The sequence below is a fragment of the Homo sapiens genome, chromosome 12, assembly GCF_000001405.40.
Source record: "Homo sapiens chromosome 12, GRCh38.p14 Primary Assembly".
In the NCBI taxonomy this organism is placed as follows: Eukaryota; Metazoa; Chordata; class Mammalia; order Primates; family Hominidae; genus Homo; species Homo sapiens.
In genome coordinates, this window is record NC_000012.12 from 113,146,990 (window position 1) to 113,172,590 (window position 25,601).

At 54.3% G+C, this 25,601-nt stretch overlaps 2 protein-coding genes and 1 non-coding gene across 5 annotated transcripts in view, besides 2 other annotated features; 1 reads left to right on the forward strand and 2 right to left on the reverse strand.

Annotated features, from left to right (window-relative positions):
* The first annotated feature begins 2,734 nt into the window (after nucleotides 1–2,734).
* CFAP73 (cilia and flagella associated protein 73) lies at nucleotides 2,735–12,287 on the forward strand. 2 transcript variants are annotated; one of them, NM_001144872.3, is made up of 8 exons: nucleotides 2,735–2,924; nucleotides 4,929–5,034; nucleotides 5,794–5,898; nucleotides 6,219–6,419; nucleotides 7,425–7,646; nucleotides 8,271–8,429; nucleotides 10,613–10,701; nucleotides 11,712–12,287. In NM_001144872.3, the coding sequence occupies exons 1-7, from the start codon at nucleotides 2,869–2,871 to the stop codon at nucleotides 10,688–10,690; spliced, it is 927 nt and encodes a 308-aa protein (NP_001138344.1). In that variant the 5' UTR covers nucleotides 2,735–2,868; the 3' UTR covers nucleotides 10,691–10,701; nucleotides 11,712–12,287. The 2 variants fall into 2 exon arrangements, with proteins under 2 accessions (NP_001138344.1, XP_011536629.2); XM_011538327.3 differs by lacking the exon at nucleotides 11,712–12,287 and having other exon boundaries at nucleotides 9,608–11,535.
* Nucleotides 7,815–8,314: an enhancer, noted in NCBI's record as "H3K4me1 hESC enhancer chr12:113592609-113593108 (GRCh37/hg19 assembly coordinates)". NCBI's record gives its function as "activates a minimal SCP1, AML or CMV promoter by ChIP-STARR-seq in naive H9 embryonic stem cells {active_cell/tissue: H9 hESC(naive)}" and the evidence as "EXISTENCE:reporter gene assay evidence [ECO:0000049][PMID:30033119]".
* Nucleotides 8,681–8,881: a silencer, noted in NCBI's record as "peak1971 fragment used in MPRA reporter construct". NCBI's record gives its function as "represses an SCP1 promoter by STARR-seq MPRAs in K562 erythroleukemia cells {active_cell/tissue: K562}" and the evidence as "EXISTENCE:reporter gene assay evidence [ECO:0000049][PMID:32103011]".
* Nucleotides 10,184–25,601, reverse strand: part of DDX54 (DEAD-box helicase 54) — a 28,306-nt gene continuing 12,888 nt past the window's right edge. Inside the window, exons 11-20 of one of the 2 annotated variants that reach the window (NM_024072.4) lie at nucleotides 25,364–25,574; nucleotides 22,781–22,915; nucleotides 18,813–19,043; nucleotides 18,655–18,728; nucleotides 17,078–17,296; nucleotides 16,143–16,285; nucleotides 15,943–16,056; nucleotides 14,904–15,008; nucleotides 14,281–14,393; nucleotides 10,184–12,120 (exon numbers count right to left, since the gene is read on the reverse strand). In NM_024072.4, the coding sequence (NP_076977.3) occupies nucleotides 11,888–12,120; nucleotides 14,281–14,393; nucleotides 14,904–15,008; nucleotides 15,943–16,056; nucleotides 16,143–16,285; nucleotides 17,078–17,296; nucleotides 18,655–18,728; nucleotides 18,813–19,043; nucleotides 22,781–22,915; nucleotides 25,364–25,574 (1,578 nt within the window). In that variant the 3' untranslated portion in view covers nucleotides 10,184–11,887. Of the gene's footprint in view, nucleotides 12,124–14,280; nucleotides 14,394–14,903; nucleotides 15,009–15,942; nucleotides 16,057–16,142; nucleotides 16,286–17,077; nucleotides 17,297–18,654; nucleotides 18,729–18,812; nucleotides 19,044–22,780; nucleotides 22,916–25,363; nucleotides 25,575–25,601 lie in introns of both variants that reach the window. The other variant, NM_001111322.2, reaches the window with a different exon arrangement.
* MIR7106 (microRNA 7106) lies at nucleotides 12,124–12,188 on the reverse strand. Its single transcript, NR_106956.1, has one exon. It is a non-coding gene; the product is annotated as a microRNA 7106 (primary transcript).

A 25,601-nucleotide genomic window follows, 5' to 3' on the forward strand; every position in this document is an offset into this window, starting at 1 on the left:
TGTATTTTTAGTAGAAACTGGGTTTCACCATGTTGCTCAGGCTGGTCTTGGTGACCTCAGGTGATCCACCTGCTTCAGCCTCCCAAAGTGCTGGGAATACAGGCATGAGCCACCACACCCGGCCATAAAATGACTTTTTAAAAAACTGACAATACCAACTGCTGGTGAGGATATGGAGCAACTAGAACTCTCCTAATGGAGCAACTAGAACTCTTGTACATTGCTAGTGTGAATATAAAAATAGTACAGCCACCTTGAATAACAGCTTGCAGTTTTTTATACAGTTAAACATACACTTACCATACGACACAGCAATACCACTCTGACATATTTACACAAGTGAAATGAAAACTTATGTTTGCACAAAAACCTGCACATGAATACAGCCTGTATTTGCAAGTGCCCAGAACTGGAAGCAACTCACCTGTCTTTCATCTGGGGAATGAATCAACAAACTATAGTATTCATAATATAATGTACCCGGCAATGAAAAAGAATGAGCTACTGATACACATATCAATATGAATGAATCTCAAATGAATATTACTAAGTGAAAGAAGACAGACTCAAAGGGCTACAAAGTGTATACCGTGATTTCATGTATGATATCCTGCAAAAGGTAAAACTCGAAGGACAAAGAATATGTAGAAGTTGCCAGAGGCTGGTGTGGAGGGAAGGGTTGATTATAAAGGGGCACAAGGGCTTTTTGGGGTGATGGAAATGTTTTGTATGTTGATTGTGGTGGTGATTACATGACTTTATGCATTTGCCAAAATCCATAGAATGGTATATGGAAAAAGTGACTTTTACTTTTTGTAAAAGATACCTTTATCTTTTAAAAAATTAAGAAAAAAATGAAGCCAGGCAAGGTGGCTCACGCCTGTAATCCCAGGACTTTGGGAGGCTGAGGCGGGCAGATCGCCTGAAGTCAGGAGTTCATGACCAGCCTGGCCAACATGGCAAAAACCCATCTCTACTAAAAATACAAAAAACTAGCCAGATGCGGTGGCGCGCGCCTTCAATCTCAGCTACTCCAGAGGCTGAGGCAGGAGACTCGCTTGAACCCAGGAGGCAGAGGTTGCAGTGAGAGGAGATCGTGCCACTGCACTCCAGCCTAGGTCACAGAGCAAGACTCCATCTCAAAAAAAAAAGAATGAAAAAATGAGATCATATCTTATTGTAACTTCACATCAATTTGTGCAGAAAGACAGCATGTCCAATTTAATTTTTAAAAATGCTCAAAGGTAAAATGTACATTATTTTAGTTCTTTTTAATTTCTTAGATATTGATTGATTGATTGATTGAGACAGGGTCTTGCTCTGTTGCCCACGCTGGAGTGCAGTGGAGTGATCATAGCTCACTGCAACCTCAACCTCCTGGGCTCAAGTGATCCTCCTGCCTCAGCTTCCCGAGTAGCTGGAACTATAGACACATGCCACTATCCCCAGCTAATCTTATTATTTTTTGTAGAGATGGGGTCTCTCTGTGTTACACAGGCTGGGCTGGAACTCCTGGGCTCAAACAAGCCTCCCACCTTGGCCTCCCAGAGTGCTGAGATTACAGGCATCAGCCACCGCACCCGGCCCTAGTTCTGTTTTTTAAAACATGCTCTAACGAAATCCTTAGGAGTTTTTTAAGCAATGTAGGATTACAAGGAACTATAGGTTTTTGAAACAGCATTGCTCTACATTAAGAAAATACATTTCTTTGAATGGAAAATAAATTATTTAAAATGGAAAATAAAATGACCGGAAGCAGGGAGGACAAGATGCTAGTGTTTGTTGCTTTGAATTGAAGAACCCAAGGGTACTTTTTATATTACTCTTGGTACTTTTCCCTAGTACCATCCACCCCCCACAGGGCTGTCTTAGGGATTAATTTAGATACTATAGAGTGCTGAGCATAGCATCTAACCCACAGTAAAGCCCAAACTATTGGCCAGGTGTGGTGGCTCACGCCTGTAATCCCAGCACTTTGGGAGGCCAAGGCAGGTGGCTCACTTGAGGTCAGGATTTCAAGACCAGCCTGACCAACATGGTGAAAGCCCATCTCTAATAAAAATACAAAAATTAGCCAGGCCTGGTGGAGTTCACCTGTAATCCCAGCTACTCGGGAGGCTGAGGCACGAGAATCGCTTGAACCTGGGAGGCAGAGGTTGCAGTGAGCCGAGATCGAGCCTCTGCACTCCAGCCTGGGTGACAGAGCGAAACTCCATGTCAAATAAATAAATGCCCGAACTCTCAGCTTCTCCCATCACCCCATCCCCCAAGTCCAGACCATCCCTTCTAAGCTGGTCTCCACTAGGAGGTCCTGATGGTCTCCCTTTCCCTAACCAGGCTGGGGGCTCCCTGAGAAATAGCCAGAGGAGCCCCATCACCAGGACAGGGAGTGGCGCCTCAAAGGGCTGGGAGTGAATGACTCCACCCAGGGCCTGGCTAGCAGTGCGCGCCCAGTAATTATTCTTTCGAGCCATTAACTGAGTACACACAAGCGTGGCCCAGATAGTGAGGCTATCCCACCCAGCCAGGAAGAAGCTTGGCCAAACGTGGGGCACTAAGAGAGGCAATTTCTTGGCCAAGGGAGCCCCATCCTCTCCATTGCACCACCGATTTGATGGGGTGTTACAGGCCTCTCCAGGAGGGGCAGAGGTGCTCCTTTCCTCGCAGGCCCCTCCCTCTCCCTCCAGGCGGCAGCTAGGCGATGGAATGTTGTGTGGTCGGTTGCCAGGCAACCAGAGCCTGCTGGTGGCTGCCTTCTGGGCCGAGCTGAGCAGGCTTCCACACCACGCTCCACAGAACCCCCAGGGTCTCCTAAGCTTGTGCAAAACTCCAGCTGGTGGAAAGAAAGCTGGGGCAACTGCCAGAAGGATGGCGGTGCCCTGGGAGGAATATTTCCGACTGGCTTTGCAAGAGAAACTGTCTACGTGAGTGGGACGTAGAGGGAGGGAGGGCTAGAAGGAGGGCGGGAATGCGTGGGCTGGCCCATCCTTTCTTCCTCACCTCCTGGGTCCTGGCTTTGGGCAGATCATAGTGGGGGTTATTGTCCCCACTTCACAGAGGAGGAAACTGAGGATCAGAGAGAAACCGAGGCATCACCATGGTCTCAGGGATCGTTCCTGATCCCCCACCCCTAGCTGACATCCGGCTGAGATTAAATCATTCAAACCAAGCTGGGAAGGAATTATTCTATGAAATCCTGCTCCCCAATCCACCCCCAAAACTGCATTTTCAGGAGGAACAGAGGAAGCTTGTTCTGTGTCTCCTTCATGTTCAGCAGCATGGCCTCAAGTCCCAACCTCAGTATCAGCATCTGTAAAATGGGGAGGGGGGTTTTCTTCTGGACCACGGCTGGGAAAGCCTTGCTGATTACACATTAGTCATTCTTTCTGCTCTCCCTTTCTCCCGGGGCGCTGGACTCCAGAACCCCACTGCCTCCTGGGCCTCTCCCTGCAGAGGTCTCAGGCATCTCGGGCTTGGCCGTAGTAGGGAGCTGGTCTCCCCCACCTGACCTGCTCTCCTGCAGCCTCATCCTTCCGGCTCCTGGGGTCACCTCTGACCCCTTTCTCACTCCCCTCCCCACTCCATCAGTTCTGCTCTCACCTCCTGCCACTGCTGCCCTGCTCAGAACCACACTATCTCTGGAATATCCCGTGGCCCCACCACTGGTCTCCCGCAGCTGCCCACTGTCCTTGCTCCTCAAAGCAGCCAGAAGGGCCCCTCCTCTGCCCAAAACACTCCCTCCGCTCCCACTTCACTTAGAGTCAAGGCCAAAGTCTCCACTCACCATGGCCCACCGCAGTTGGATTCTCAGCTCCTCCCTGCTCCCAATTCCCATCTTTTTCCTCCTCCCTCCCTCCTCTGCAGCCACCCTAGCCACACCAGGGTCCTAGAATCTGTTCCCTGGAGATGTCCACGTGGCTTGCTCCCTCTTCTCCTCCAGGTCTCTGCTCAGATGCCACCTCCTCTGTGTTGAAAGATTCCTTTAGTCCACTTAATTTTTCATCTCAGTGCCTACCATGTCCTGGCATTCTTTATTATTATTATTATTATTATTTATTAGCTTGATTTTCTGTGGCTCCCAGAACAATGCAAGTTCACGAGGGAACAGGGATTTTTGTCTGTCCTGTTTACAGCTGCACCCCCAGTGCCTACAAGGGTGCCTGGCCCAGAGTAGGTGCTCAGGACAATTTGTTCAATGAATAAAGAATTCAACCAGGTGCGGTGGCTCACACCTGTAATCCCGGCACTTTGGGATGCCAAGGTGGGTAGATCACATGAGGTCAGGATTTCGAGACCAGCCTAGCCAACATGGTGAAACCCTGTCTCTACTAAAAATACAGAAATTAGCTGGGCATGGTGGCGTGCACCTGTAATCCCAGCTACTTGGGAGGCTGAGGCAGGAGAACTGCTTGAACCTGGAAGGCGGGAGGTTGCAGTGAGCCAAGATCGTGCCACTGCACTCCAACCTGAATGACAGAGCAAGACTCCATCTCAAAAACTATATAATAATAATAATAATTCAACCAGATGTGGTGGCTTATGCCTGTAATCCCAACACTTTGGGAGGCTGAGGCAGGAGGATTGCTTGAGTCCACGAGTTCAAGACCAGCCTGGGCAATAAAACAAGACCTCATCTTTACAAAAATAAAAAAATAAAAATTAGCCGGGTGTGGTGGCACATGCCTGCAGTCCCAGCTACTCAAGAGACAAGATGGGAGGATCGCTTAAGCCCAGGAGTGAGCTATGATGATTAGACCACTGCACTCCAGCCTGGGTGACAAAGCAAGACCCAAAAACAAGTCTCAAAAAAAAAAAAAAAAAATTAAACAGCCAGCAGGTGGCTAATGGGGCACTCCAGACACAGTGGTGAGATGTGGGGCCCTGAAACATGCTTCCTTCACCCCCACCTCCTACTTGAGCCTCTTCAGAAAGCTGCCAGAGCAGGCTGAGGATCATGTCCCACCAGTACTGCGTCTCCTGGAGAAGAGGCAAGAGCTGGTAGATGCAGACCAGGCCCTGCAGGCCCAGAAGGAGGTGAGCCCCCACTACTGTAACGAGGTGGTGAGCTGGTGGATGGGAAGTGATGGAGCCAATTTATTAGTGACAAGGTCTGAGACAAGTCATTTCACCACTCCAAGCCTTGATTTCCTCATCGTCAAATGGGGATCAAATGAGACCAGTTGTTGGTGCAAATAAATTTGTGTGCATTGAGCATGTGCTGGGCACTGCATTAAGCCCTGGAGGTCTTACGATAGTCCCTGGCCTTGTGGGGCTCACAGTCTAGAGAGGAAAACAGATAAGTGTTCAGGTGGTGACTGCTACAGGGAAGAAGCACTGGGCAGGGGCTGTGGAAGCCCAGAAGTCCCTACCTCCCCATGGGGGTGGTCAAGGAGGGCTTCCTGGAGGAAGTGATGTCTTGGGGATTGCTGAAGGGCAAGTCGGCTTATCCAGCAAAGGTGAAACAGATGAGGAAGGAAAAACAGGCAGAGGAAAACCATACACAAAGACTGGTTGGAAGGCAAGAACCAAACACAGGTGGTTGAGTGGCTGGAAGACAGAATATGGGAGGGCAGAGGGTAAGATGAGGCCTGAAGGAAGGGCAGGGACACTGGCATTCGAGGGCTGGAGGAGGGTGTTTGGGCTTCATCCCTGGGTGATGGGAGCCCCGGATGGGTTGAGCAGGGAGCAGCCACAGATCAGGGACAACAGGTGGAAGGGGTTAGGTGTGAACCTGACAGCATGGGAGGACCCGGACCCCCGAACCCACACAGACAACCCACTCCTCACCCCCAGGTGTTCCGCACCAAGACGGCAGCCCTGAAACAGCGTTGGGAACAGCTGGAACAAAAGGAGCGGGAGCTAAAGGGATCGTTCATCCGCTTTGACAAGTTTTTGCAGGTAGGTGGAGCCTCCTGGGGGGGAGGCGGGGCCTATGGGTAGCAGCCCACACTCCTATAGGGGCCCGGCAGGTAACAAAAATAAAAGAAGTGGTTTTCGTCATGCAAAAGGAAACGGCGGGAAACACACACGCACTGCCTGAAGCAACCGATTAAAAAAAAAAAAAGCGGGCGGGGGAGTTGGGTGAAGAGCCAGCTTCCGAGCCAGGCCTGCTGGCCGCCCCTGGTTTTGCGAGCGAATGTCAGGGCAGGATGGAGGTGCCGAACTCCCCGCCAGCTCCTGAGTCCTGAAGGTCGTCTTCTCCCCACCGTACTCCCCAGGACTCCGAGGCCCGGCGCAATCGCGCGCTGCGGAGGGCGGCGGAGGAGAGGCACCAGGCGGGCCGTCGGGAGGTGGAGGCGCTGCGTCTGTGGACCCAGCTCCAGGAGCTACGGCGGGAACACGCGCGGCTGCAGCGCCGGCTTAAGCGCCTGGAGCCCTGCGCGCGCCTGCTGGAGCAAGCGCTGGAGCTGCTGCCCGGGGTGAGTCCGGGGCAGGAGGCTGGGAGCTCGGCGCCACCGCGTGGCGCTGAGTGGCTCAGGGACGGCTTCGGACCGGCGAACTACTGGTTCGCTGAACTACTGGAGATCTTGGCATGCATGCCGAGAACTATCACTTATGGAGCGCTCACTGTAAGCAAGGGATACGCTTTGGTTTTTGTGGTTGTTAGTTTTGGAGGTTTTTTGAGACAGTGTCTCGCTTTGTCACCAGGCTGGAGTGCATTGGCGCGATCACGGCTCACTGCAGCCTCGACTTCCTGGGCTCAAGGGATCCTCCTGCCTCTGCCTCCCAAGTAGCTGGGACCACAGGCGCACGCCACCACGCCTAGCTATTTTTTTAAATTATTATTTTTAGTAGAGACGGTGGTTTCTCTATGTTGCCCAGGCTGGTTTCGAACTCCTGGGCTCAAGCGATCCTGCCACCTCCGCTCCCAAAGTGCTGGGATTACAGGTGTGAGCCACCGCCCACGCTTTGTTCTTGAATCCTCCCCAAAGTCCAGTGAAGTAAGTCCTGTTATTGTCAACTGTCCACCCCATTTTACAGATAGGAGAACTGAAGATTCAGAAAGCTAACTCTGGCCGGGCGCGGTGGCTCACGCCTGTAATCCCAACACTTTGGGGGGCCAAGGCGGGAGGATTGCTTGAAGCCAGGAGTTCGAGACCAGTCTGGGTAACATAGAGTGACACCTGTCTCTACAAAAAATTAGTCGGGCGTGGTGGCGTGTGACTATAGTCCCAGCTACTTTGGAGCGGAGATGGGAGGATCGCTTGAGCCCAGGAGTTCAAGATGACAGTGAGCTATGATCGCGCCACTGCACTCCAGCCCAGGTGACAGAGCGAGACCTTGTCTCTAACAAATGGAGGTTGACATTTAAGTCACTTTCCAGAAAGATTATTCCAATAATAAGGAACGCTGGCGGCCAGGTGGGATGGAGAGGGTAAGGCACTGCAGGCCCATGTGAGTCCCTTCCCCGCCCCCGACTCTAGTTCCAAGAGGTTCCGGAGCTGGTGGCGCGCTTCGACGGCCTGGCCGAGACGCAGGCGGCGCTGAGGCTCAGGGAGCGCGAGCAGCTCGCGGAGCTGGAGGCGGCGCGAGCGCGGCTGCAGCAGCTGCGGGACGCCTGGCCGGACGAGGTGCTCGCACAGGGCCAGCGGCGGGCACAGCTGCAGGAGCGCCTGGAGGCTGCCAGGGAGCGTACGCTGCAGTGGGTACGACCCGCCCTAGGTGGGGGGCGCTCCGGACCCCAGGCTTCCACAGCCGGGCGGGGAGGAACGCCAGGGCTGATGAGGACCGATGGGGCAATGCTTACCCCAGAGGGTCCGCTGCACTAAGGAGGGGAATCTCAGGCATCACCGAGCCGTTTCGGGCATGAGGCCCCGCCCCATCCGCCTGCACAAGGCTCCTGCACCCCACTCCCGAGAGCACCTGACTGCCTGACTGGCAGAGGTGGATGGGAAGAATGCCGGGCGCGGTGGCTCATGCCTGTAATCCCAACACTTTGGGAGGCCGAAAGGGGCGGATCACCTCAGGTCATGAGTTCGAGACCAGCCTGGCCAACATGGTGAAACCCTGTCTCTACTAAAAATACAAAAATTAGCCAGGTCCACTGGCGGGCGCCTGTACTCCCAGCTACTCGGGAGGCTGAAGGAGGAGAATCGCTAGGCTCTGGGAGCCGGCGGTTGCAGTGAGCTGAGATCAGGCCACTGCACTCCAGCCTGGGCGACAAAGCTAGACTCCATCTCAAAAAGAAAAAAAAAAAAAGTGGCTGGGAAGAGGGGGCAGCCCGCCTTGGCCCAGTTGCCATAATTGGGAGTGGGGCGGGTGTTCTCCAGGAATCCAAGTGGATTCAGATTCAGAACACAGCAGCGGAGAAGACTCTGCTCCTGGGACGCAGCAGGATGGCTGTGCTCAACCTGTTCCAGCTAGTGTGCCAGCATCAGGGGCAGCCTCCCACCCTGGACATCGAGGACACGGAGGGACAGCTAGAGCACGTGAGGACCCCTCTTTATGGCACCTCCAGCCCCCAAACACTCCCTCTTTGGAAAAATGAGCCTAAAACCCCACAGTTAGTGACACCTTCTCTGGGTTAAGCATGGCCCTCTACGGTCAGAGCCCTTGCCCCAGCCGTGGCTCGATTGTCGGGCAGGCACCCGGTCTAGGATGGATTCCTGGGTGCATCTTGGCTCTGACAGTGGCCAGAAGAAAGCCATGCCCCTCTCTGCGACAAAGCTAGACTCTATCTCAAAAAGAAAAAAAAAGTGGCTGGTCTCAATGCCCTCCCTCTACCAGGAAGGCCAGGGTTTGTGCTGAGTCCCTCTTTTCTCACAGGATCCAACAGCCCACACGTGTCAACACCTGTAAAAAATCATGAGGTCCAGACTCGCTCTTCATTAATCTCTGGCCCTCTGTCTCCCTGCTTCCTGCACAGAGAGGCCTCAGCTTCCGCAGGGAGGGTGAGGGTGGGGTTAGGCTGAGTTGTGTGGTGTAGAATGTGCCATAGGCTTTTTTTTTTTTTTTTGAGACAGAGTCTAGTTCTGTCACCTAGGCTGGAGTGCAGTGACACGATCTCGGCTCACTGCAACCTCTGCCTCCTGGCGATTCTCCTGCCTCAGCCTCTCGAGTAGTTGGGATTACAGGCACACACCACGACACCCGGCTAATTTTGTATTTTTAGTAGAGCTAGGGTTTCACCAGGTTGGCCAGGCTGGTCTCGAAATCCCAACCTCAAGTTATCCTCCCGCCTCAGCCTCCCAAAGTGCTAGGATTACAAGTGTGAGCCACCACACCCAGCGTGACATAGGTTTACAATGGAGGAAGATTTCAGACTTCAAACACTTCTTTTGTTTCTAGTGGGTATACCCAAAGCATGGCCCCTTTGAGAACTGGAGGAAAAGTAAAGGTGTAGCAGGATGAGCCACAGACAAAACTCCTCAGACACCGGATTAAAGAAGGAAGAGGTTTTTATTCGGCCGGGAGCTCGGCTCTTAAGACACGAGTCTGCCAATGCTCCCAGCCGAATAAAAAACTCTTCCTTCTTTAATCCGGTGTCTGAGGAGTTTTGTGTTAATCCGGTGTCTGAGGAGTTTTGTCTGCGGCTCGTCCTGCTACAAAGGGAGGCATCCCACCTTTTCCCCAACCGATTCCCATTCCTGTTCTGCCCAATGGCCAGGATTCCAACCGAATGCCAAGATCTGGGTCCTGGGAATCCGCTTCGCCCCTCCTAGTTGGTTGGATGCATCGATGCCACTGTTCTTCCAAGCCTGGCCTGTTACCTTGTGGCACATGAGACTAGCAGAAACACAGGCTTGATGTAAACAGGCAAAAGTCAGTGCCTTTTCTTTTAGTCCAACTGGAGTAGTGGAAATTAAGAAGAAACAAAATCTGTAACCGGTTGTAATTAATTCGTTGTAAACACCACTGCACTAGGACCAGACCATCTCTTTTCAAAATCAACTCTCTGCCCGTCAAGGAGAAAGGCTCCACGGAGGGACATGATGCCTTTTCCCACCTCCCCTAACACTCCCTGGCCTCCGGGCCTGGGACTCACACTGTCCTGCGGCTGCCAGAATTCAGTAACAGCTTCATTTGTTCATTGCATTATTTTTCCAGTTGCCCCCTAGTTATGACAAGGGGTAACTATTTTTTTCCATTTTTGGTGGAGATAAAAAGTTTCCTTCTCAGCTGTTGATACGGTGATGAATATGAGGGGGAGCCCACAGATGGTTGTAAGTTCACCCTCAAGTTCTAGTTTTTACAATGGATCCATGGTATTTATTAAGTTCATATTCATAAAGAAGTTAATTAAAACAAAAGGAGAGCCACCCACGGAGATAAGAGTAGGTCACAAACCAATGAATATGACTGATCCAGTTACAAGAAAATAAAGCTGATTGATGTAAATGAAAATACTAATTGGATAGTGCAGGTGACAGCAGCGAGGAAGCTGTGAAGGTGTCTGCTCACGCAGCAGTTGGGAAGGTTGGCCTGAGGCTTTCAAAACCCAGAACGGTTTAGGATCTCAGTCACCACCTCTGGGAACCACCATCATCACTGTTCTTTTAATGAGGGGATCTCCAGTCCCCGCCCTACCTTTCGGCCTCCCCCGCGTGTTGAGGGGTGGGGGCTGGACAGTGACTCTGGGGCTGGGATGTGACTTCGTGCTGGGCCCCCCCAGGTGAAGCTGTTCATGCAGGACCTCTCTGCCATGCTGGCCGGCCTGGGTCAGGCTGAGCCTGCAGCCCCTGCCTCCTAGCCCTGACACAGGTGAGCAGCGGGAGAGGGAACCCCTGAGAGACCCTGAGATAGGAGGGCCCACATTTCCAATGGGGTGTGGACTGAGTGGCTCTTCCTGAATCCGTTTCCTCATTGGGAAGATGGGAGGGCTGTGCCTGTTCAGAGTGCTGTGGGCCTGCCATGAGGGGCACATAGCAAGCACTCCATAAATGCAGGCCCTGATGAGGAGGTGATGGGAAGGTCAAGGGGCTATGTGTGGGGCAACTGCCTCTAAAATGAGATCAGACCAGGCCCTCCCTGCCAGGGTGGTTGGGGCATGAAAAAAAACTCTTTGTCAGGTCTCAGAACAGGGTCCATGCTAGATGAGAGATCACCAAGGCCCCCTCCACTATGGACTCTGCCAGGTGAGGGGCCCAGCCTGAGAATCCAGCTGCTGGGGCTGCCCTTGACCTTCTCAGAACCTCAAACAGGGGGTGGGTGGCAAGAAGACAGAGGACAGGCCAGGTTCTGACCTCCAGGTGTGGAGGGGCCGCGTTAACCTCTTCATAGCCAGAGGGGAGCAGCTGTGTCCTTGCCCCCTGGGCTGGGCATCCTGTTCCCCTCCCCCAGCCCACTCCCAGCTGCAACCATGTCCAGTGGGAGGAAGGGGGACCAACTCCCGCCTCTGGCACCTGGTTTGTGCTCTGAGCTTCACTTTCCTCATCGCTAAATGGACAAGGCAGCAGAACTCACCCTCAGGAGACCCGCAACTCCTCTGCCACGTTAGCTGGGATTTTAGTACCTGGGTCTCTCCATTCCAGTTCCCCAAGTAGACCGCACTCCTGGCCACCAGCAGTGCTCAATAAAGATTTATTACATTAAAAATTCCATTGCCAAACCCTGAGGCACTCAGGGCTCTGACCGGTGCAGCCATGACCTCTGAACCCAGAACACATGGAAGCAGCAGCAGCTGAGTTGCCAACTCAAGTCTTGGCCTGCCTGGCTTTGCTGGCGAACTCCTGCACACCCTTCAAGGCCCTGTTCAAATGTCTCTGTCTTAGGCTGACGCAGCTGCTGCCCTTCTGTGGCCATACAGTGCTCCTTTTCACAGATGATGGCTCCTGCAGGGAGTGCCCCCAGTGCCCAGCACAGGGCCAGGCACACAGTGGTGCACGGGAACGTCTGCTGATGCCCACCCTAAGGCCAATCAAGGAGCCACGGGGCTGGGTCCTGGTCCTCACATCCTCTTCCGCATCTTGCCCTTCTTGGAGCGGGCACCCCGGCCGAAGGCGCCCTGCTGCAGCTCCTGGACGCGGCGGCGGTTGCGGGCAGAGAGCTGCTTGAGGCCACCACGCTGCAGGAAGTGCAGCTTCTGGGCCCGGCGCCGCTGCTTCAGGATCTGCTGCTTGGTCTTGAGTTCCGGGCGGACTCGGCCTGCAGGGGTGCCTGGGGCGTGGGGCCGGGATGCACCTGCTGGGACAGGGATTCAGGGAGCTCAGCTGTTGGGATCACTCCCAAGATCCCCTCCTCCCAGAAGCTTGCAGACTCCTCCCCTGCCCCTACTCCTGTTCTGTGCTTATTGCTGTGGCCCAGTGTCTGTACACAGTAGGTGGCTAATAAAGTTTTAGGCAGCCTCATGGAGTGGTCAATAACACGGGGCCAGAACCGCTGGGGTTCAAATCCCAGCTGTGACCTCTTGGACCGTGGGCAAGAAGTTAACGGCTCTGTGCCTCAGTTTCCCCATCTATGAATTATAAATCACAGCACCTCCCTCATGGGTGAAGAGTAAATGCATTTCCATGGTGTAAAGTGGTCAGAATTTCAAGGCCTGTCCCATAGTGGGAGCCTTTTGGGCATGACTGTTACTATTAAAAATTCTCCAACCAAGGAGTGTATGTCTCCACAGCACACCTACGGCACGCCAGGCTCTGAGGCCCCCCATAGTAACCGATACAGACCTCAGCCTCTGTCTCCATGGACACCATGCTCTAGGCTTGTTAGATGAAAAAAGAGTGTAGATGAACCTTCCTTTAGGTGGGAGAGGAATCAAAGAAGGCCAGAGAGGGAGAGGGACTTATCTGAGATCACACAGCAAAGCAGCAGCAGCAGCAGAGGTCAGCGACCCTGCCCCAGCCCCACAGGTGGGCATCAGGTAGTCCATTCTTCTAGTTCTCCGGGAGGCAAGCACCACCCTCCCTGGCTCCCACTAAGCCCTGTGTCCTCCTCCTCCTCTTCCCCATTCATAACAGCAGCCTCCCCAGGGCTCCTAGAGGGATGACCATTAAGGTGGTCCCAGCTGTCTCCAATGGAGCCAGGGTGCCTCGCAGGACCTATCACCTCCAATGAGGACAGCAAAGGAAGAACAGCTGCTTTTTCCCAAAGCCCACAGGTCGCCCCCGTCTCCCCAGCCCCTGCACGCCCACTGCACGGCAATGCTCGCAGCAGAAGCTGCTGTTTCACCTAGGTAAAAACAGGCTGAGAAGTGAGGTGTGGGTGGTCCCCACCCAGCCATGCTGACAAGGAGACACTCCCACAGATGGGAGAGCTGGAGAGGGAGGAGCCACAGAGAACAGGCCCAGGCAAATGCACGCAGGCTCACAGAGACACCCAGGGGAGGCAGTGACCAGCCCCAGGAGGTGGAGGGACACAAGCAGGGGCTAAGGCCATCTGAGAGAGACCCAAGACATGGTCCCAAACTCCCCTCTCCCCAGGGAAGACTCCAGGTGGGAGCCTTGGGCAGCTGGGTGACCCAGGTTCAGTCATAGCCCTCATAAGGCACCTGTTTCCTGGCCTGTAAAATGGGTATTCGCAGTCACCTTGCCTCCCAGGTCATGTGTGGCCTTCCAGGACAGAGCCTGCCTGCACCCAGCAAGCGGGAGCCCCTCCCTGATAACAGCCCTTAAGCACAGGCTCTGGCAGACAGAGCCGGCTTCAAATCCACCTTAGCTTGTTACTGGCTGAGGGACCCAGGCCAGATCAAAGAGGTCCAAGTCCTCAGATGACCAAATGTACCACTTGCCAACCCACATTTCAAGGAAGTATCTTCCTCAACATCCCCTGTGATCGCCTCCTCCCAGAACCAAAGCTGCTTCTGACTGCGTCTTTGGTGACATGAACTTCCCCACAGCATTGCTAAAAAGAACGTCACTCCTAAGGATGCCACAGGGAATCAATTCATGCTCACTGTCAGGTCGAACCACATGCAAATGCCATTTTTGCAGGTGAAAATGGCCTGCATTTGCACAAGGTTCCACCTCCCGGGTTCTCTAGGATTTTACACAATCGGCTTAATTAGGTGAACAGGGCATCTACCAGAAGTTATCCCTGTAGCTTCATCTGTGAAGTGGAAGGGGGTCGGGGACAAGGCACCTGAGGGGCATGGCACTTCCCAGCGCCTGTCAGGCGGTGCTCGTGACCATCAGAGGCCGGGACAGTAGGAAGGGGGAAACTGTGGGTGTGGGGGTTGGGTGGGGGGGATCATGGAGGGACCCAGGGTTTTGGCAGCATACCCCAACACACCCAGCTCTGGGGCTCTGCAGTAGCCCCTGCACCTGTGCCTCAGCGTTACCCTAATCTGACCACAACTGCTCTGCCTACCTGTGCACCCACACTCCCCACCCTGGCTCTCACCTTGGCCACGGTCTCGCTTCCCACCTCTTCGCTCTGGGCCTCGCCGGTCAGATGCCCCTTCTTCGTCCGAGTCACGATCATCAATTTTCTGTTTCTGTTTCCACTTCTGATAGCTGGGAAACCTCGTTAAGGAAGCTGCGTGAAGCCCCTGGGATGGGAGAAGGCTCCTCCCCACACTGCCCCAGCAGACAGAGTTCCGTTATCCCAGCCGCAGCTGAAGCTGCTCGGCCCCGCCCCCAGCACACAGGTCCCACTTATTGGAGATGCTGTTGCTGAAGCTGCTCGGCCCCGCCCCCAGCACCAGGTCCCACTTATTGGAGATGCCGCTGCTGAAGCTGCTGGGCCCGCCCCCAGCACAGGCCCCACTTACTGGAGATGCTGCTGCTGAAGCTGCTGGGCCCCGCCCCCAGCACAGGTCCCACTAGTTCGAGATGCTGCTGCTGAAGCTGCTCGGCCCCGCCCCCAGCACCAGGTCCCATCTATTGGAGATGCGGCTGCTTAAGCCGCTCAGCCCCGCCCCCTCCTCCCCGCCCCCGCCCCCGCCCCCAGGTTCCACTTAATTGAAGCTGCTCCTGCTGAAGCTCCTCGGCCCCGCCCCTCCCCAGCCACGCCCCTCAGGATACAGGTCTCGCTTGTAGGAGCTGCTGATGTAGCGGCCGCTCTCTGTCTTAATCTTCTTCTTGTCTTCCTGTCCTGACTGTCCCACAAACCGCTTCTTCTTACGGTCCCTGCAGGAGAGGGAGTTGGGACGGCTGCCGTGGAGGGAAACCCTTGGAGTGCCGGCTGCCGCTTGGGGCCTGTCTCCTCACCCGACCCTCTTGTCAGGTTGTTGGAGCATTAAAGGAAAGCAGTGCAGCCATGTCTGGCATGCAGTTGGCGCTCAATAAAGGCTTCTTCCCTATCCCTCCTCACCTCTCCCTGCAGTCCAGGTCTCAAAAGGGAGTGCGGAGGTCAGAGGACTGCCGCCAGCACTGGGGCCTGGCTCAGGGACAAGGGCCTCCTGGAGGGTTTCCAATCCCCTCCCCCTACCCAGCTGTGACCCTGGGTTGAGTCACATACACTCTCCAGACGCTAGAGTCCTGAACGAATGGGTCCTGAGCCCTGTCTAGAAAGACTTGCCAGCAAAAAGAATAGACGGGGTCAAGATCTCTGTGGTGTGTGATCAAATCAAGGGGACAGCACAGCCAGGGGCCATCACACCTGCTGTGAGTGGTCACATGGGGGACAGCCAGGCCATAATCTGGGCTGTGCAGGATCAGATGGGAGTGAGGACTTCAGGGAGCTCACCCTGCCTGCTGGCATGGAGGGCAGCTCACTCGATCACTCACCCTGGGCCTGGAGGGGTGGCTCACTCGCTCACTCACCCCAGGGAATGGAGGGGCGGCTCACTCGCTCACTCACTTCAGGGAATGGAGGTAGGGGAGGCTCACTCGCTCACTCACCCCAGGCATGGAGGGGCAGCTCACTCTCTCACTCACCCTGGGCCTGGAGGGGCAGCTCACTCGATCACTCACCCCGGGCATGGAGGGGCGGCTCACTCACTCACTCACCCCGGGCATGGAGGGAGGGGCGGCTCACTCGATCACTCACCCCAGGCACGGAGGAGCAGCTCACTCGGTCACTCACCCCGAGCATGGAGGGGCGGCTCACTCGATCACTCACCACTTGAGCTGCTGCCGGCCCCTCGTCAGGTTCTGGGCTTCATCCCCCATCAAGTCCAGGACAGCGCCAGCTGCCTGCTGCTCAAAGGCTCCCCCTTCCCCGCTGATGCTCAGGCTGCAGAGGGAGAGTGGGAGACATAATTGGATTGATGGGACCCAGCGGACCCAACTGCCCCACCCAGGACCCAGCCAGCCACTCACCCCCGCTCGCTGTCAAAGTCCTTGGGCCGGTAGGGGATGTAGAATTCCTGGTCCCGCTGCCGGGCCTCCTCCCTCCGCCTCTTGGCTCCCCTGTTGGGTCCTGACCGCTGCCGCTTCCGGCCCACGACCTCTGAGAAAATGTCCTGGCAGAGCACAGACCAAGGCCCAGTGTCATGCCTGCTGCCCCCTGGGGACTTCCCCCTGCCTCCCTACCCACCAGCCTGGCCACAGTGAGGGGCCAGTGGCTTCTCGGGGACTTTCAAAGCTTCATTTTGCCATTTCTTAGCTGGGTGACAGTGTCTCCTGTGGGACCCTCAGTTTCCTCATCTGCACACACAGTGCAACCCCTGCCTCAGGGACCAGCAGAGGCAGGACAGCTGGGTGAGGAGGAGAGTGCCGGCCGAGGGAGACCCAACTCCCCATTCCAGCTCCGCACCCCAGGCTATGTGACAGCCGGCCCTGCCCCTCTCTGCGCCTGGCCTGCTCTGAACAACATGGACTAGGCCAGGGGTCTCCAACTGGTCTTCTTGGCTACTGAACCCTCTGTCCAAACAAAACATGAGAGAGGGACATCCTGGGGGACGCACAGGCCCAGGACCCACCCACCAGGTGAATGGGACACTTCATGGTCCTCCCTCTGAGTGGAGACCTACACGTCTCACTGCAGAAGCCCTGATGTGTTTGGTGGCTGGTGATGCCCCGGACCCCACTGAGGGTGTCATGTCGTGCACAGCTCCTCAGGCTAAAGATCTGGCCCCAGAGTTTTAAACGAGGGATGGTGGACAAGAACCATGCCCCGACTCTGCAGATGGGAAGCTGACTGCATCCACCTCCATCCACTGCTCAAAGATCCTAGGACAGCCTCATGGGCTGCTGGGACTTAGCCACCCCTTCCCCATACCCCAGGTCCAGGGTCCCCAGGGTGGAACCTGTACCTCCACACTCTCTCCCGCCTCCTCCTCCTCCTCCTTCTCAGGCTGCTTCTCCTGCAGTGCTGGGCGGCTCGGGGCTGGGCCCACTGGGCCCTCCTGCTGCTCCTGCCGCCCCTGCTGTCCCTGCTGGAAGCGGGCGATGGCCTTGCGGTCCTTCTGCCGCTTGGCGCGCATCACCTGGCTGCACAGGTCTCGGCTGGAGGCGTTGATCTCAAAGATAGTCTGTGGAGGGGACACCCAGTCCTTTGCCCACTGGCCTCCTACTCCTAACCCCACCCTTACCACTTGGTGGGCTTCCTATGGGCGTTCTTCCCCAAGTCTTCCCCAGTGTCCATTATCTGCACTTCACAATTAGATAGACAGACCCAGACCAGGCGCAGTGGCTCATGCCTGTAATCCCAGCACTTGAGGAGGCTGAGGCGGGTGGATCACTTGAGGTCAGGAGTTCGAGACTAGCCTGGCCAACACGGCGAAACCCCATCTCTGCTAAAAATACAAAAATTAGCTAGGTGTGGTGGTGGGCACCTGTAGTCCCAGCTACTTAGGAGGCTGAGGCAGGAGAATCACTTGAACCCAGAAGGCAGAGGTTGCAGTGAGCCGAGATTGCACCACTGCACCCCAGCCTGGGTAACAGAGCGAGACTCCATCTCAAAAACAAAACCAAACAAAAACACAGAGAGACCCAGGCCAGGCACCGTGGCTCACGCCTGTAATCTCAGCACTTTGGGAGGCTGAGGCAAGAGGATCACCTGAGCCCAGGGGTCTGAGAGCAGCCTAGGCAACATGACCTCATCTCTACAAAAAATAAAAAAAAATAGCTGGGTGTGGTGGCATGCACCTGTAGTCCCAGCTACTCAGGAGGCTGAGATAGGAGGATCGTTTGAGCCCAGGAGGTCAAGGCTGCAGTGAGCCATGATTGCACCACTGCACTCCAGCCTGGGTGACAAAGCAAGACCCTGTTTCAAAAACAAACAAACAAAAACCCAGAGAGGGTGAGTAACCAGCCCATGGTCACATGCTAGGAAAAGGCATAGCTTGTCAACCCAAGTCCATTTGACTTCAAAACCGGTGCTCTTAAACATGACACTCTCTCCAGCTCCTCTCCTGATCCTAGCTGGCTGGCAGGCTTACTCACTCCTCAGTAGGTCTTTCCTTTTGTGCATCCCCTTCCATATGCACAAGATGGGGTGCCTAATGGGAGTCAACAGTTGGGAAGGAGGGAAAGAAGCTCAGGAAAGCCAGCTCTTCAGGCCTCTAACAGACCAGAAGCATGTCACTTCCCCTTGTGAGCCATCTGTAAGTGCTAGGGAATGGCTGCCCCATAGGACCTGCTGTGAGCCAGCAGGGATGGTTCCAGAACAAGGTGCATCTCAAGAGAGGTTGTCAGAGCCAAGGCTGCAGGTTAAGAAGCTATAAGAAGCTCAGATGAAAATCCCTGCTGGGGTCCTGCTGGGGGTCAGGAGTGCAATCTGAGTCCTGGCACCACCGTTGTCACTGTGTGACCCCAGGCCACAGGCCATCTGTCTCTGGGCTCCACAGAGCCAGGACTCAGAGCGTGGTCTCCACCCGGCCCCACTCACCGCCCGGGAGCGGTAGTTCTTTATGCTGTCCACCAGCCTCAGCCGCTGCAGCTCCTCCTCCTCAAAACGCGAGCCTGGTAGGAAAGCAGCAAGGTGTGAGGCTGTGGGTGGGGTCAGCAAGGCCCACCTGCCACCCCCTGCCTTGTAGAAGGACTCACTGAAGAGGGGGTGCAGGCCCAGCCCCACAAGGTCCATCTCCTTGGCCCTCTTGATGGACTCAGGCGAGGGCGCCGGGCGTGAGCGCACATACTGCTGCTGGGCGTTATCAGCAACGCGGGCCAGGCCCCGTAGCTCCAGCGATGCCTCCAGGGTGCTCTGCAGACCACTGTCCTCCTCGTCCACCACACTCTGTGGCACCCGACCCAGCATGCCATCCACACCGGCCACACCTGCACCCCACACAGCACCTTGTCAGAGGTCTTTCAGCCTGGCCCGCCTGTCCACTGCCCGACCACCACTCTTGGGCCTCACCCTGGCCCCTGAATCACAGGTAAATGGCTACAAAATAATCACTGCAAAGAACACCAGCACTCAGGGAGGAGCTAGAGAGCCAGACACTTGAATACACTGACAGGGGTCAACAAACTGCGGCCGGCCGGCCAGCTGCCTGCTGCTTCTGGAAATAGCTCTACGGGAGCACAGCTCACTACTTGCTTACGCATGGTCTCCAGCTGTTTTTGCACTACAAGGCCAGGGTTGAAGAGCCACCCTGGATCACACAGCCCACAGAGCCTAGAATATGTACTATCCGGCTCTAAAAAAAAAAAACTTTGTTGGCCGGGTGCGGTGGCTCATGCCTATAATCTCAGAGTTCCGGGAGGCTGAGGCAGGAGGATCACTTGAGGCCAGGAATTGGAGACCAGCCTGAGCAATGTAGTGACACTCCATGTCTACAATAAATTTTAAAATTAGCCGGGCATGGTGGTGTGCCCCTGTAGTCTCTCAACTACTCAGGGGGTGAGACAGGAGGATCGCTTGAGCCTGGGAGCTCACGGCTGCAGTGAGCCGTGATGGTGCCACTGCACTCCAGCCTGGGTGACAGAACAAGACTTTGTCTCTCTTAAAAACAAAAAAACAAAAACAAAAAACAAACAACAGCAACTTTGCTGACTCCAGCATTAGAAATTCAATTTCCACAGCAACCCTGTTCTATAGATAAGAAAACTGAGGCTCAGCGAGGTTCAATTACTACCAGGACTGTCAAATGAGTCAGTTGCAGAGACAGGATTCAATCTAGGCAGAGTCCATACTAACAACAGCAATACTTATGGTAATAAGTAACAGCAACAGTTAAGAGCAGAGGATGCCGGGGACAGAGGCTTCCTATGTGTAAGCACTGTGCTGAGTCCATCATCATCATCTCCTTTACCTCACACCAAACCTATGAGGAAAGTACCTGTTTTCTTTTGTCGTCATGTTCTAACTTTTTACTACAAAATATATACAACAGTAAGCCAAGCATGGTGGCTCACACCTGTAACCCCAGCACTTTGGAAGCCAAGGCAGGAGGATCGCTTGAGTGCAGGAGTTCAATACCAGCCTGGGCAACATAGTGATACCCCATCTCTACAAAAAATTAAAAAATTATCCAGGCATGGTGGCACCTGCCTGTATTCCCAGCTCCTCAAGAGGCTGAGGTGGAAGGATTGCTTGAGCCTAGGAGGTCAAGGGCGCAGTGAGCTGTGATCGTGCCACTATACTCTAGCCTGGGTGACAGAGTGAGCCCCTCTCAAAAAATAAAATAAAATGAAATAAAATAAAAAAGCAAAACAACAAAAGAAAAACAAAAAGCTGAGGGAAGAGCATGATGGACCTCATGGGCCCATCACCCAGCGTTAATTACCAACATTTGGCCAATCTTGCAAGAAAGGCCCTGATGAGTCCCTTTTAGAGAGGAGGAAACTGAGGCTCCTGGAGGTTTAGAGATTTGCCAAGGGGCACGTGGTAAGGGTCAGGGTCGGAAACCGAACCCTGCACTGGGTCAGGAGCCTGCCCTCTTCCCATCTCTCCAGATTAAGCAGGTGCTGGGCCCTGCTGACCCCTGGCTAGCTCTGGAGCAAATGCAGGATGTCTCTCCCTAAAAGCTAACTGCACCGGGGGTGGTTTCTGCCTGGACATTGGGGGAGGCTCCTTCCCTCCCTCTGCCCCTCCCACGCCCATGCACAGCTCTCAACCCAGGAGGCTGCAGATCTGTAGAGCCTGTACGGGGCTGCGTGCTGCCTCTGGCCCTGGGCGCAGGGTCCATTTCCTCCTGCTCCTGCCTGTCACTGGGCCCCTGGGGCTGCCAGGTGGGGCTGTGCTTGCACCTCCCTCCCTTGGCCCTTGCACTCTCAGCTTTGCCCCCAGGAAAATGCTTTGAAATGCCCTTTAGGCGCCCCTTCCAATTCACCCCTGCGTGGCGCCCGACTGAGGCCTCCACCTCCAGTGACTGCACAGGCCGCCCCCCACCCCGGCCAGGCCCCGCAGCCCTTTCCTGTGCCCTTGCATCTGACCCCAGACTTTCTGCTATGGTGTCTGCTTTCCAGCCGCCTCCAGGCATGGGCTGGGACACTGCAGGGCCACATGGTCACCTGAGGGGGCCGTGGCCTGGACAGAGACCACCACTGGCAGCCAAGAGTGAACAGCCGAGGCAGAGGGGGCCCGGAGCTCTGAGGGCTGCGCTCTCTGCTGACCACTGGCTAGGCTGTCCGGAGGAAGCCGCCTCAGCTCTCTGAGCTTGAGTCTTGGGCCTCTGGGGGGGCCTGAATCTCAGCTCCCCACCTCCCTGCTGTGTGCATGCGGGTAGGCCTGTCAGAGCCGTTCTCTCATCTGTGAAGCAGAGGTGATGACAGCCCTCCCTCTAGCACAGATGGACAAATGAGACAAGATGTGTCCAGGGCCCGGGAACCAGCAGGACTGCAGGTGGAGGCCCATAGTTGGAGGCCCACAGATGGAGGCCATGGTGATTGCTATTGTCTGTCCCATGCATTCCCATTCTAGGATGTATACAGAAATGTCCTGTGGGCGGCTGGGCACAGTGGCTCACGCCTGTAATTCCAGCACTTTGGGAGGCCGAGGCGGGCAGATCACCTGAGATCAGAAGTTCAAGACCAGCGTGGCCAACATGGTGAAACCCTGTCTCTACTAAAAATACAAAATTAGCTGGGCGTGGTTGTGTGTGCCTGCAGTCCCAGCTACTCGGGAGGCTGAGGCAGGAGAATCGCTTGAACCCAGGATGCGGAGGTTGTGGTGAGCCAAGATTGCACCACTGCACTCCAGCCTGGGCAACAAGAGCGAAACTCTGTCTCAATAAATAAATTAAAAATGTCCTGTGGGCTTGGTCTGAATGAGCCTCAGCCTCTCTTTCCCTCCGCTGCGCTCCCCTGAAAACTCATCAAGTATAGGGTCACACACTAGATGCCTGCAGGGGCTGGGCAGGCCACACTGACAGGAAGGGGAGGCAGGCAGGGGCTGCAGGGGACCAGGAAGCCTGTCTAATGGGGGTGCCACAGCTTAGCACCCAGATCCAACTGTTTCCCAGTAGATACCAGAAATCTGGATTGTTGTGGGAAATCCTGAGTTTAAAATAGAGGGATTAGCCAGGCATAGTGGCTTGCTTGAGCCCAGGAGTTGGAAGTTGCAGCGAGCCATGATCGCACCACTGCACTCCAGCCTGAGCAAGAGTAAGACCCCGTCTCGTTAAAAAATAGAAGGAATCAGCCGGGCGCAGTGACTCACACCTGTAATCCCAGCACTTTGGGAGGTGGGCGAATCACTTGAGGTCAGGAGTTCGAGATCAGCCTGGCCAACATGGTGAAACCTTGTCTCTACTAAAAATACAATAAAAAATTTGCCAGGCGTGGTGGCGGGCATCTATAGTCCCAGCTACTCGGGAGGCTGAGGCAAGAGAATGGCTTGAACCTGGGAGGCAGAGGTTGCTGTGAGCCAAGATCACACCACTGCACCCCAGCCTGGGCAACAGAGCGAGGCTCTGTCTCAAAAAATAAACAAAACAAATAAAATACAATAAAATAAATAAAAGGAATCATCTTCTGCTGGGGTCAAACCCAGCCCTACCTCCTCCCACAGCCAAAACAGGGCCCATGAACTCCACGGGGACCCCTATCCCCACCCAGCCTCCACTCACCTGAGGGCTCCTTGAGGGGTCGGGCGAGGGTGAGGGAGCGGCCCAGGAACAGGTGCAGATCCAGCAGGTAGGGGATTTCATCAGGGGCCACCAAGGAGTAGGCTGTGCCACTTCGGCCAGCCCGAGCCACACGGCCTGCAGCAAGGAGACGTTCAAGCTTAATTAAGCAAAGAAGGACCCGGACCCAGCATGAGTTCCACAGGCCAGACCCTGAGCAGGTGAGCCTGGCCAAGCCTCGAACCTCACACGGCTGCTGTCCCCACCTACGCACAGGGAAGTTTAATCCCGGTCCCTAGGTTGATCTGTGAGAGTGTGCCCAAGCTGACACAGTGCTCTGGGAGACTAGCAAAAATACAGCAAGGCCCTGCTCATGAGCATGATCAAAACTCTTCAGTGTCCCCACTTTTGAGAATTCCCCGCAAAGATGTAAAGATTCACACACAAGGAGGTTTAGTGTGGCCCTGACTAGGACAGCCCCAAGTTGGAAACTAAAGTCTCAAGGGTAGAGGACTAGATAAGTGAATTAGCTGATGGCCACACAGTGGGAATTAAACAGCTCAGGAAAAGAGTGGGCAAACTGCAGCCTACAGGGCCAGGCTGGTGGCTCACGCCTGTAATCACAGCACTTTGAGGGGCTGAGGTGGGAGAATCACTTGAGGCCAGGAGTTCGAGAACAGCCTGGGCAAAATAGCAAGACCCCATGTCTACAAAAAACGAAAATTAGCCAGATGTGATGGTGTGTGCCTGTAGCCCTAAGTACTTGGGAGGCTGAGCTGGGAGGATTGCTTGAATCTGGGAGTTCAAGCTTACAGTGAGCTATGATCATGCCACAGCACTAGAGCCCAAGCAACAGAGTGAGATCCCGGCCCCCTGCTTGTCTGTGTAAATAAAGATTTATTGGAACACAGCCACACTCATTTGTTTATATATTATCTATATAAATGAATAGGCAGCAGTCACACGACAGCAGCAGAGATGAACAGTTATGACAGAGACAGTATGGTCCACAAAGCCTAACGTTTCATGTCTAGCCCCTTACAGAAAAGATGTGCCAACCCATCACAGAATGACATTTCATAGTAAACGAAAAACATTCGTGATGTATGGTGATGTAAAAAGAAAAAAACAAAAAGCCAGTTATAAAAAAGAACACCCAATATGATTGCAATTTTGCATGAAGTACCTAAATCACTACATAGCATTATATTTTGGTTTGTCTCTGTATCTTGGGAAAACAAGGTGTTATGACATTTGGAGATTTCATTTGAGGTTGTCTGACCGGCACTGTTGGTCTTGTGAGGCACAAGAAATTCCCTTTGGGGGCGTCCTGGGGACCTCCCTAGGGACATGCAGAACCAGCTCTCCACACAGCAACAGAAACTAGGGGACAGCAGACAGCAACAAGGGGGAAGTGCACCCACCACATGACACTTATGAATTAAAAGAAGGCAAAGAAAGTAGAATAACAGTTACCAGGGGCTGCGGGAGGGGAATAAGGAGATTTTGTCTGACGGATAGAGCTTCAATTTTGCAAGATGGAAAAGTTCTGGGGCCAAGCATGGTGGCTCACGCCTGTAATCACAGCACTTTGGGAGGCTGAGGCAGATGCATCACTTGAGGTTAGGAGTTCAAGACCACCTTGGCCAACATGGTGAAACCCCTGTCTCTACTAAAAACACAAAAAATTAGCTGGGCCTGGTGGCGAGCACCTGTAATCCCAGCTACTCGGGAGGCTGATGCAAGAGAATAGCTAGAACCTGGGAGGTGAAGGTTGCAGTGAGCCGAGATCACACCCCTGCACTCCAGCCTGGGGTACAAAGCAAGACTCTCAAAAAAAAAAAAAAAAGTTTTGGGGACAGATGGTGGTGACAGTTGCACAATGGGAACAGACTCAATGCCACTCCACTGCACACTGGGAAATGGCAAAATGCTGAATTGCATGCTATGTCTACTTTACCACAACTTAAAATAGAAACATCAGAAGAATGGACACACACCAAAATGACGGCCATGTCATCAGAGAGCAATGGGGGACAGTGATCTCTGAAATGAGACCACAGCTGTTCCGTGACTTACGAAGGGCTGCGTCTCAATAAACCCAATAGCCGTCAAAAACACACGCACGGCACCTAACCCACTAAACATCGCAGCTCAGCCAGCCTGCCTTGAGCATGCTCCAAATACTTCCATTAGCCTACCCTTGGGCAAAATCATCCCACACATAGCCGATTTTAAAATAAAGTGTTGAGTATCTCATGTAACTTATTGAATACTGTACTGAAAGAAAAAAATAGAACAGCTGTATGGGTGCTATTGTAAAGTCAAAAAAACCATAAGCTGAATAATTGGGTTGTTTTTTTTTTTTGGTTTTTTTGAGACAAGATCTTGCTCCGTCACCCAGGCTGGATCGCAGTGGCACGATCGCGAGTTTGAGACCAGCTTAAGCAATATAGCGAGGCTCTGTCTCTAAAACAAGGCCCACAGCCACCCCATGTGCAGTGTCAAGAGTTAAGCCTTGTACCCTCGGCTTCTGCCAGGATCCGGCACCCCTGCCTGCCCCAGGGCCAGCCACGGGCTGCTTACCCACGCGGTGCAGGAAGAGTTTGCCCTTGGCGGGGAAGCTGTAGTTGATGACATTGTCCAGCAGCGGGATGTCCAGGCCTCGGGCGGCCAGGTCAGTCACAATGAGAGTGGAGCACTTGCCAAGCGTGAATTTGGCGAGATTGATCTTGCGGGCTGTCGGGTCTAGGGCACTGTAGATGTGGGCGCAGCTCACCCGCTGGGTCGTCAGCAGCTGCTCAGAGCAAAGATGGTAGCAAAG